This window comes from Homo sapiens, chromosome 20, assembly GCF_000001405.40.
Source record: "Homo sapiens chromosome 20, GRCh38.p14 Primary Assembly".
Lineage (NCBI taxonomy): Eukaryota > Metazoa > Chordata > Mammalia > Primates > Hominidae > Homo > Homo sapiens.
The window spans coordinates 36,973,663-36,985,731 of record NC_000020.11 but is presented as its reverse complement, the minus strand read 5'-3'; the positions used below and the strand labels follow the sequence as shown (position 1 = coordinate 36,985,731).

General features: G+C 49.6%; 2 annotated features.

The window, feature by feature from the left end:
- Positions 8,911–9,481: an enhancer, noted in NCBI's record as "H3K27ac hESC enhancer chr20:35604654-35605224 (GRCh37/hg19 assembly coordinates)". NCBI's record gives its function as "activates a minimal SCP1, AML or CMV promoter by ChIP-STARR-seq in naive H9 embryonic stem cells {active_cell/tissue: H9 hESC(naive)}" and the evidence as "EXISTENCE:reporter gene assay evidence [ECO:0000049][PMID:30033119]".
- Positions 9,482–10,053: an enhancer, noted in NCBI's record as "NANOG-H3K27ac hESC enhancer chr20:35604082-35604653 (GRCh37/hg19 assembly coordinates)". NCBI's record gives its function as "activates a minimal SCP1, AML or CMV promoter by ChIP-STARR-seq in naive H9 embryonic stem cells {active_cell/tissue: H9 hESC(naive)}" and the evidence as "EXISTENCE:reporter gene assay evidence [ECO:0000049][PMID:30033119]".

Here is a 12,069-nt window from a genome sequence, read left to right as displayed (position 1 = left end):
GGCCGGGCGCAATGGCTCATGCCTGTAATCCCAGCACTTTGGGAGGCCGAGGTGGGCGGATCACGAGGTCAGGAGATCGAGACCATCCTGGCTAACACAGTGAAAACCCATCTCTACTAACAATACAAAAACAAAATTAGCCAGGCGTGGTGGCGGGCACCTGTAGTCCCAGCTACTTGGGAGGCTGAGGCAGGCAAATGGCATGAACCCAGGAGGTGGAGCTTGCAGTGAGCCAAGATCGCACCATTGTACTCCGGCCTGGGCAACAGAGCAAGACTCCGTCTCAAAAAAAAAAAAAAAAGAAAGAAAGAAAGGGGTGCCACTTGCCCCCATTACCCGACAGGATTTGGAGGAAAGCTGCCTGGAGAAGGAGGTTAGCATAAAGTAGACAGCTCTTGTATTTCGAAGGAAATGTATAGAGTCCTACCTGCCACTTCCAGAGTTGTCCTTGGCTTTGTTCCTTTAATGACAACGTCTGATTTGGAAGCTGGTGAGTGAAGAGCCCCTTCAGTTCAAGGCCATTATTGGGTGGAGATCTGACCGGGAGGCCTTTTGTCTCCTGGGACAGTCTTTCCAGTGGCCGAGCCTATGGCAGATTGGTCAGGCTATGCATGGCATCCTTCCATTTTGGGCAATTCCTTCTCTAGTGGCCTAGTCTTCCCCACTGATGGCAGTTACCTGGAGGAGTGTCTTGAAGGCAACCTGGAGGGGGCTGGTGGGCTTGCACAACAGCTAGTAGTTGAGCCTGCCTCTTGTCCCTACATTTTCGTTTTCCTTAGCCCTGTCCTCCTTGTCCTGATTTTGGTTATAAAGGATCGAGGAGGCTCATTTGAGGATTTCTGGCATAGGAGTACTTGGTCCTAAGGCTGACTTTTGTAATTTTTCCTGATATCCGGGATGGCTTGGGTAAAGAAATGGTCCTTTACAACTAGTTGTCCCTCAGGGGATTCTGGGTTTAAGTTGGTATGCTTAATACGGGTTTCCTGTAGCCTTTCGAGAAAGGCTATGGGATTTTTGGTTGGCCCCTGGTTTATGGTGGCTAACTTATTAGAGTTCCTAGACTTAACCTTACTTTATTTTATTCCCTCTATTAGACACAGCAGCATGTGGTTCCTGGCCCATATTTTTGCTTGGATATTGTAGTCCCAATTGGGGTCTTGTTGGGGAACAGCTGTAGCCCCTCGAGAGTAGTTGACGTTTGCCAGGTGTAATTCATCCCCACAGTGTCTGGCTGCTTCACAGATGGTTTCTCTTTCCTCCCGTGAGAGGGCTTGTCCCAGGAGGATATTTATGTCCTTTCAAGTTAATCTAAATGTAAGGGCTGACCGGGCACAGTGGCTCATGCCTATAATCCTAGCACTTTGAGAGGCTGAGGCAAGTGGATCACCTGAGGTCAGGAGTTCAAGACCAGCCTGACCAACATGGCGAAACCCCGTCTCTACTAAGAATAGAAAAATTAGCTGGGCATGGTGGCATGCATCTGTAGTCCCAGCTACTCGGGAGGCTGAGGCATGACAATTGCTTGAACCCAGGAGGTGAAGGTTGCAGTGAGCCGAGATCATACCACTGCACTCCAGCCTGGGTGACAGAGCGAGACTCTGTCTCAAAAAAATAAATAAATAAATGTAAGGGTGAATATTTGGAAGCCTTCAATGAGCTTCTGGGGTCATTTGAGAACTTTCCTAGTTTTTTTTTTTTTTTTTTTTTAATTTGCCAAAGGTCCAGGCTGAAAAGGAGATGAGGACTTGGATGGGTCCAACTGGCTCACTTACTTCCTCTAACAAGCAGAGCCTGGAGGGAGAACTAACGGGCTTTGTGTAGGGCAGGGCTGATTCCAAAGGTCTGGGAGTGAGATAAACAGGGGAGGAGGCAGGTGGCTGTTTTTCACTTTTTGGCCTGTGGAGGAGGGGGAGGCAATTTTTCCCCTTGGCTTTTGGAGGAGAAGGGAGTCAGCAGGTGAGTCCCAGTGGAGGGCCCTGGAGAAGGCAGCTAAGCATAGCTAGGACAGTGGGGTTTGCCTTACAAGCTTTATAAGGATTGGGGTTTTTCCTTCAGGCCATGAAGGTTCGTAAATAGAGGACCTCTGACTATTTGCCCTGATGGTGGCAGGAAAGGTCCAGCTGGAGGACGGTATGAAAATTTGTACTTTTGCCGGGCGCAGTGGCTCACATCTGTAATCCCAGCACTTTGGGAGGCTGAGGTGGGCAGATCGCGAGGTTAGGAGATCGAGACCATCCTGGCCAACACGGTGAAACCCCGTCTCTACTAAAAATACAAAAAATTAGCTGGGCATGGTGGCGGGCGCCTGTAGTCCCAGCTACTCGGGTTGCTGAGGCAGGAGAATGGTGTGAACCTGGGAGGCGGAGCTTGCAGTGAGCCAAGATGGCGCCACTCCAGCCTGGGAGACAGAGAGAGACTCCATCTCAAAAAAAAAAAAAATTAAAATTTGTACTTTTGTTTTGGCCAGAGTTCCTCTGGTTTTGCAAAGGAAAATTAGTTTTTCGTTTTAGGGTTTGGGGTTGAACTTATCCCAGTTCTTGAGATGCATCCGAGGGGCACGTCTTGTTGTATGGAGACATGATTACCCATCTGTGAAGAGAGAGCAGAGGAGAGAAGGGAAAAGGCATCTCTTCTAGTTTCCCTACTATCTTTTTCCTGCACTTATGGCAGACCGGACTGAACAGGGTGTCCCCCCATTCATCCTAGGGGCTCCAGAATGAACCAGTGCTTACTGGGTACCCTAACCCTGGTCTTGTCCCATTTCCGGGACCAGCCTTCAACTCTGTCCTAGGGGAAATCTGTTTTGTGCCTATAGGTGGGGACTCGCCTTCATCGCTGTTCTGTAGGTACTTTGGTCTCTTGCACCTGTGGTTTTGGGCCACCCTGTATCATTGTCTCCATGACCTTATAGTGACTCTTGTTCTAAGCATTCCAATAACAAAATTATTATCTCTTTTCTCATATTCCCACTCCCTGTGTTCTTTTTTTTTGAGATGGAGTCTCGCTCTTTCGCCAGGCTGGAGTGCAATGGCACACTCTCGGCTCACTGCAGCCTCCGCCTCCTGGGTTCAAGCGACTCTCCAGCCTCAGCCTCTCCAGTAGCTGGGACTACAGGTGCACCCCACCACGCCCACCTAATTTTTGTATTTGTAGTAGAGATGGGGTTTCACCATGTTGGCCAGAATGGTCTTGATCTCTTGACCTGGTGATCCGCTTGCCTTGGCCTCCCAAAGTGCTGGGATTACAGGCGTGAGCCACCGCGCCTGGCCTCCCATGTTCTTTATGTAGACAAGAAGCCTGTTTTTCAGCTAACTGACACAAGGGAGCTGGACGTCTCCCCTTTCAAATTAAACCTTGAAGGTCCAGATGTATATTGAAAAGGGTGGCCAGGTGCAGTAGCTCGCACCTGTAATCTCAGCACTTTGGGATGCCAAGGCAGGCGGGTCACTTGAGGTCAGGAGTTCGATGCCAGCCTGGCCAAAATGACGAAACTATGTCTCTACTAAAAATACAAAAATTGGCTGGGCACGGTGGCTCAGGCCTGTAATTTCTCTAATTCCTTAAAATTAGTAACCTAGGTGGGACTGGAAGATTAATCTTTGAAGCTGCATTTATGTAACATGCATATTGTGCTTACCTACATTGTAACTTCGAGCAGACCAATAAACATAGTAATGTTGAAGATGATCTTATTCACAGTTTTTACAAGACTGAGAACACCTTGGTTATTATTCACATTAAAGAGGAGTAGGCCGGGCGCAGTGGCTCACACCTGTAATCCCAGCATTTTGGGAGGCCAAGGTGGGTGGAACACGAAGTCAGGAGTGCGAGATCAGCCTGGCCAACGTGGTGAAACCCCATCCCTACTAAAAATACAAAAATCAGCCTGGCATGGTGGTATGCACCTGTAGTCCCAGCTACTCAGAAGGCTGAGGTAGGAGAATCACTTGAACCTGGGAGGCAAAGGTTGCAATGAGCCAAGATCGCACGATTGCACTACAGCCTGGCCAACAGAGCAAGACCCTGTCTGAAAAAAAAAAAAAAAGGAGTATTATTTTCAGTTTGGGTGGCTGCAGGGAAGTCAGGTTTCCCCTAGCAAGCATGCTCTGAGTGTCAGGGAGGAAACTGGCACTAGATTCTGAGGGAGAGATCAGGTCTTCCTTAGGGGAAATACCCTTTTCCTTGGGCAAGAGGTTAAGGTGGCACTGAGCCTTCGGGGTGTGGGTAGAAGCTGGTGCTAAGCCTCTGAGGTGGAAAGCTTAGGGAGGTCACAGTAAAGGTGAGGAGTTGGGGGCTCCCAGAAGACGATTAGGGAGAGAAGGTGCGGAAGACAAGGAGCAGCAAGGAGAGAGCCATAAGATTGTGTAAAGGGAGAAGATTCACTGGAACACATTCTCCACCCCTAGAAAGGTTGGTTGTGATAAAAATCCTTCAACAAGCTGAGTTTCTTCTGTGTGTGATAGGGGTGAGAAGGAAGATTTACTCCAAAACAGAGGTAACAAATGAAGATGTTTCCAGGACAAAGGAAGACAAGCTTGAGAAAGAAAGAAGACGGCCTGGGAATTCCCAAAATATGGGGGATACTTATAGAAATCTGAGTAAGCCCAAGACTGTTATCAAAAGACACAGTGTAGGCCGTGTGCAATGGTTCACGCCTGTAATCCCAGCACTTTGAGAATCCGAGGTAGGAGGATTCGTTGATCCCAGGAGTTTGGAGACCAGCCTGGGCTACATAAGGAGACCCTGTCTCTACAAAAAATAAAATTAGACAGGTGGCGGTGCATGCCTGTGGTCCCAGCTACTCAGGAGGCTGAGGTGGGAGGATCACTTGAGCCCAGGAGGTTGAGGCTGCAATGAGCTATGATTGCACTACTGCACACCAGCCTGGGTGCCAGAGTGAAATGCTGTCTCAAAAAAAAAAAAAAAAAAGTGGGCCTGTGAAACCACAGCGCTTGGCTTTGAATCCTAATGTGAACTTGGGCAAGTTACTTAAAAACTCTTGAGCTTTATTTATTTATTTATTTATTTTGAGACTGAGTTTCGCCTGTCGCCCAGGCTGGAGTACAGTGGCGTGATCTGGGATCACTGCAAGCTCCGCCTCCTGGGTTCACGCCATTCTCATGCCTCAGCCTCCCGAGTAGCTGGGACTACAGGTGCTCACCACCACGCCCGGTTAATTTTTTTTGTATTTTTAGTAGAGACAGGGTTTCACCGTGTTACCCAGGATGGTCTCGATCTGCTGACGTCGTGATCCACCTGCCTCAGCCTCCCAAAGTGCTGGGATTACAGGCGTGAGCCACCACGCCCAGCCAACTCTTGAGCTTTAATTTCTTCATCTGTAAAATTGAAATAATGGCTTTATTATAGAGTGTTATGAGAATTGAGCCTGGCACATAGAAAATGCTGAATACATGTAAGATATAATTATTATAAAAAGTATGCTTGCGGCCAGGCAGGGTGGCTCACGCCTGTAATCCCAGCACTTTGAGAGGCTGAGGTGTGTGGATCACTTGAAGTCAGGACTTCCAGACCAGCCTGGCCAACATGGTGAAACCCCATCTTACTAAAAATACAAAAATTAGCCGGGCATGGTGTCGCACACCTATAATCCCAGCTACTCGGCAGGCTGACTCAGAATTCCTTGAACCTCGGAGGCGGAGGTTGCAGTGAGCCAAGATAGTGCCACTGCACTCCGGCCTGGGCAACAGAGTGAGACTCTGTCTGAAAAAATAAAAGGTATGCTTGGGCCTCCTTCTTAAATTCATTAATTTAACAAATATCAAGTCCATATTTAATTATTTAATCTACGCATCAGTCTATACCCTGGGAAAACCACATTAAAAAAATACTGCCTACATGGAGCTCATATTCTAGTGGGGGAGTCAGTATATGAGTAGATAATAAGTGCTAGGACGAAAAATACAACAGGATAAGAGTGTAGGGAAAGCTGAATTGGTCTAGGAAATGTGACCTGACACTTGAGCACAAATAGCTTTTTTTTTTTTTGAGACGGAGTCTCGCTCTGTCACCAGGCTAGAGTGCAGTGGCATGGTCTTGGCTCACTGCAACCTCCACCCCCTGGGTTCAAGCGATTCTCCTGCCTCAGCCTCCCGAGTAGCTGGGACTACAGGTGTGTACCACCACACTGGGCTAATTTTTTTTTTTTTTAATTTTAGTAGAGGTGGGGTTTCACCATGTTGGCCAGCATGGCCTCAATCTGCTGACCTCATGATCTGCCCACCTCGGCCTCCCAAAATGCTGGGATTACAGGCGTGAGCCACCATGCCTGTCCAAAAATACCTTTATGTGATGAAATACCTTCAGTATTTTAACAATCCTGTATCGGCCGGGCATGGTGGCTCACGCCTGTAATCCCAGCACTTTGGGAGGCCGAGGCGGGTGGATCACGAGTTCAGGAGATAGAGATCATCCTGGCTAACACGGTGAAACCCCGTCTCTACTAAAAATACAAAAAATTAGCCAGGTATGGTGGCGGGCACCTATAGTCCCAGCTACTCAAGAGGCTGAGGCAGGAGAATGGCGTGAACCCGGGAGGTGGAGCTTGCAGTGAGCTTAGATTGCCCCACCGCACTGCAGCCTGGGGGTCAGAACTAGACTCTGTCTCAAAAAAAAAAAAAAAAAAAATCCTGTATCATGATGTTATACATTAGCCAATACCTGATTTTTAACTTTGCAAACCTTAGACTCACTAAACAAAATTTATTCCAAGTGCCAATATCTGAAATAAATCCAACCAAAATCCTCCTCACCCTTTTTTCTTGCCTTGTTTGGTAATAAATAATGGGAGAGGCTGGGGGTGGTGGCTCATGCCTGTAATCCCAGCACTTTGGGAGGCCGAGGCATGTGGATCACCTGAGGTCAGGAGTTGGAGACCAGCCTGGCCAACCTAGTGAAACCCCGTCTCTACTAAAAATACAAAAATTAGCTGGGCATGGTGGTGGGCGCCTATAATCCCAGCTACTCAGGAGGCTGAGGCAGGAGAATCGCTTGAACCTGGGAGGCGGAGGTTGCAGTGAGCCAAGATTGTGCCACTGCACTCCAACCTGGGCGACAAGAGCAAAACTCCATCTCAAAATAAATAATAAATACATAAATAATGGGAGATTCAGACATTGGAACACAACATTAAAATTGTCACAGAATGCCAGGCCCGGTAGCTCACACCTGTAATCCCAGCACTTTGGGAGGCCGAGGTGGGCGGAAATTCGAGACCTGAGGTCAGAAGTTCCAGACCAGCCTGACCAACATGGAGAAACCCCGTCTCTACTAAAATACGAAAAAATTAGCCGGGTGTGGTGGCACATCACTATAATCCCAGCTACTTGGAAGGCTGAGGCAGGAGAATCGCTTGAACCTGGGAGGTGAAGGTTGCGGTGAGCCGAGATCGTGCCATTGCACTCTAGCCTGGGCAACACGAATGAAACTCTGTCTCAAAAAAAATTAATTAAAAAAATTGTCACAGAAGTCTAATTTAGACAATACAAGGATGACCCTGATATATTAAGTGATATCTGTGAACCATTTTTACATTAAAAATACATAATATATGCATGTTTTTTAAAGTCTGGGAAGATTCACTTCTAAAGATGGCCTTGATGTAGAACAACTAGAACTTTTACACATTGCTGGTTGGAATGCAAAATGGGTAGTAGCCACTTTGGGAAAGAATATGGCAATATCTTATGAAGTTTGACATATACTTACCATTTGACCCATGAACCCAACACATACAAAATTAAAGGGAAATAAAAATGTATGATCAGGCCGGGGGCGGTGGCTCATGCTTGTTGTGATCCCAGCACTTTGGGAGGCTGAGGCGGATGGGTCACTTGAGGCCAGGAGTTCAAGACCAACCTGGGCAACATGGCGTGACTCCGTCTCTACAAAACATACAAAAAAATAGCACACTCGCTCCCTCTCTCTCTCTCCCTCTCCCTCTCCCTCACCCTCCCCCTCTCCCTCTCCCCTCTTTCCACGGTCTCCCTCTCCCTCTCCCTCTCTTTCCACGGTCTCCCTCTCCCTCTCCCTCTCCCTCTCTTTCCACGGTCTCCCTCTCCCTCTCTTTCCACGGTCTCCCTCTCATGCCGAGCCGAAGCTGGACTGTGCTGCTGCCATCTCGGCTCACTGCAACCTCCCTGCCTGATTGTCCTGCCTCAGCCTGCCGAGTGCCTGCAATTGCAGGCGCGCGCCGCCACGCCTGACTGGTTTTCGTATTTTTTTGGTGGAGACGGGGTTTCGCTGTGATGGCCGGGCCGGTCTCCAGCTCCTGACCGCGAGTGATCCGCCAGCCTCGGCCTCCCGAGGTGCCGGGATTGCAGACAGAGTCTCGTTAACTCAGTGCTCAATGGTGCCCAGGCTGGAGTGCAGTGGCGTGATCTCGGCTCGCTACAACCTCCACCTCCCAGCCGCCTGCCTTGGCCCCCCAAAGTGCCGAGATTGCAGCCTCTGCCCGGCCGCTACCCCGTCTGGGAAGTGAGGAGCGTCTCTGCCTGGCCGCCCATCGTCTGGGATGTGAGGAGCCCCTCTGCCTGGCTGCCCAGTCTGGAAAGTGAGGAGCGCCTCTTCCCGGTCGCCATCCCATCTAGGAAGTGAGGAGCGTCTCTGCCCGGCTGCCCATCGTCTGAGATGTGGGGAGTGCCTCTGCCCTGCTGCCCCGTCTGGGATGTGAGGAGCGCCTCGGCCCGGCCGCGACCCTGTCTGGGAGGTGAGGAGCGTCTCTGCCCGGCCGCCCTGTCTGAGAAGTGAGGAGACCCCCCGCCTGGCAACCGCCCCGTCTGAGAAGTGAGGAGCCCCTCCGCCCTGCTGCCACCCCGTCTGGGAAGTGAGGAGCGTCTCCGCCCAGCAGCCACCCTGTCCGGGAGGGAGGTGGGGGTCAGCCCCCCACCCGGCCAGCCGCCCCGTCCGGGAGGTGAGGGGCGCCTCTGCCCGGCCGCCCCTACTGGGAAGTGAGGAGCCCCTCTGCCTGGCCAGCCGCCCTGTCCGGGAGGGAGGTGGGGGGGTCAGCCCCCCGCCCGGCCAGCCGCCCCGTCTGGGAGGTGAGGGGCGCCTCTGCCCGGCTGCCCCTACTGGGAAGTGAGGAGCCCCTCTGCCTGGCCAGCCGCCCCGTCCGGGAGGGAGGTGGGGGGGTCAGCCCCCCGCCCGGCCAGCTGCCCCGTCCGGGAGGTGAGGGGCGCCTCTGCCCGGCTGCCCCTACTGGGAAGTGAGGAGCCCCTCTGCCCGGCCAGCCGCCCCGTCCGGGAGGGAGGTGGGGGGTCAGCCCCCCGCCCGGCCAGCCGCCCAGTCCGGGAGGGAGGTGGGGGGGTCAGCCCCCCTCCCGGCCAGCCGCCCCGTCCGGGAGGGAGGTGGGGGGGTCAGCCCCCTGCCCGGCCAGCCGCCCTGTCCGGGAGGTGAGGGGCGCCTCTGCCCGGCCGCCCCTACTGGGAAGTCAGGAGCCCCTCTGCCCGGCCACCACCCCGTCTGGGAGGTGTACCCAACAGCTCACTGAGAACGGGCCATGATGACAATGGCGGTTTTGTGGAATAGAAAAGGGGGAAAGGTGGGAAAAAGAATGAGAAATCGGATGGTTGCCGTGTCTGTGTAGAAAGAAGTAGACATGGGAGACTTTTCATTTTGTTCTGTACTAAGAAAAATTCTTCTGCCTTGGGATCCTGTTGATCTGTGACCTTACCCCCAACCCTGTGCTCTCTGAAACATGTGCTGTGTCCACTCAGGGTTAAATGGATTAAGGGTGGTGCAAGATGTGCTTTGTTAAACAGACGCTTGAAGGCAGCATGCTGGTTAAGAGTCATCACCACTCCCTAATCTCAAGTACCCAGGGACACAAACACTCTGCCTAGGAAAACCAGAGACCTTTGTTCACTTGTTTATCTGCTGACCTTCCCTCCACTATTGTCCTATGACCCTGCCAAATCCCCCCCTGCGAGAAACACCCAAGAATGATCAATAAAAAAATAAAAAAATAAAAAAATAAAAAATAAAAAATAAAAAAAATAAAAAAAAAAAATAGCACACTCCTGTAGTCCCAGCTACTTGGGAGGCTGAGGTAGGAGGATTGCTTGAGCCCAGGAAGTTGAGGCTGCAGTGAGCCATGATCACACCACCACACTCCAGTCTGGGCAACAGAGGGAAAAAAATGTTGAAAGACTGCACACAAATGTTTATATTGATAGTTATTCATATTAATCAAACCCTGCAAACAACCCAAACATCCATTAACTGGTTACAAAGGAAGATTGCTCAGCAATAGAAAATAAATATTGATACATGCAATAAAGATGAATCTCAAAAACATAATACTAAGTAAAAGAACTAAAATACAAAAGACTATATACTTTGCATATATAAAAATATTTACATGAAATTTTCAAAAAGGCAAAATCATAGTGACATAAAACAGAGCAACAGTTGCCTGGGCGTGTGGCAGGAAGGATGTGGGGAGGGCAGGGAAGAAGATCAAAGGGCATGAGAAAACTTTTTAGAGTGATGGAAATATTCTATATTTTGTTTGTGGTGGTAGTTTTACAGCTATATGCATCACTAAAATTCATCGAATTGTGCACTTAAGACAGGTGTATTTTATTGTATGTAAATTTTATTTTATGTAAAACTGTACACTTAAGACAGGTTTATTTTATTGTATTTTATTGCATGTAATAAAGCTGGAAAAATTCATCATGTTTTACGACTTAAGATTTGCATAATTTCCTTCATGTAAAAAAAAATTGTAATAAACAATTAAAAACAGGTGACCTTTTATAATGGAGCAGCTTAACTTCAAAATTAATTTTATTTTACTTTTATTAGTTTTTGAGACAGGCTCACGATGTGTCACCCAGGCTGGAGTGCAGTGGCGTGATTAGAGCTCCCTGCAGCCTCAAGCTTCTGGGCTCAAGCAATCCTCCCACCTCAGCTTCTCAAGTAGCTGGGACTACAGGCAAGCAGCATTTCACCTGCCTAACTTTCTTTTTTTTTTTTTTTTGAGATGGATTCTTGCTCTGTCACCCAGGCTAGAGTACAGTGGCATGATCTTGGCTCACTGCAACCTCTGCCTCCCGGGTTCAAGCGATTCTTCTGCCTCAGCCTCCTGAGTAGCTGGGACCACAGGCACGTGCCATCACACCTGGCTAATTTTTGTATTTTTTAGTAGAGACGAGGTTTCACCATATTGGCCAGGCTGGTCTCGATCTCCTGACCTCGTGATCCACCTGCCTCAGCCTCCCAAAGTGCTGGGATTATAGGCTTGAGCCACTGCGCCCGGCCTACAAAGCTTTTTTTATGAGATGGAGTCCCGCTCTGTGGCCCAGGCTGGAGTGCAGTGGCACGATCTCAATGCAACCTCCGCCTCCCAGGTTCATTTCTCCTGCCTCAGCCTCCCAAATAGCTGGGACTACAGGCGAACGCCACCATGTCTGGCTAATTTTTGTATTTTTAGTAGAGACAGGGTTTTGCCATGTTGGCCAAGAGGGTCTGGAACTCCTGACCTCAAGTGATCCGTCCACCTTGGCCTCCAAAAGCGCTGGGATTACAGGTATGAGCCACTGTGCCTGGCCTGTTTTACTATTATTAAAATTAAGTGATTAAGTAGTAACAAAAAAACTGAGACTTTCTAGTGATTTTTGATCCTAAGCCTTCTCTCACTGTTGGGCCTTCATTTGTGTACTTAAAATCAATATATGTACAAGTGTTGCACTGGTTTAAAGATTCTAATGGTGAAAGTTACCGGATTACTGTATCTAGAAACCAATCTTGGAAATGGGAGATGATGCTCTTTTTTCTTTTTTAATTTTCTTAAATTTTTTCTTTATTTTTGGCTGGGCGCGGTGGCTCACACCTGTAATCCCAGCACTTTGGGAGGCTGAGACAGGGGGATCACGAGGTCAGGAGATTGAGACCATCCTGGCTAACACGGTGAAAACCCGTCTCTATTAAAAATATAAAAAATTAGCCGGGCGCGGTAGCGGGCGCCTGTAGTCCCAGCTACTCGGGAGGCTGAGGCAGGAGAATGGCGTGAACCCGGGAGGCGGAGCTTGCAGGGAGCAGAGCTCAGGC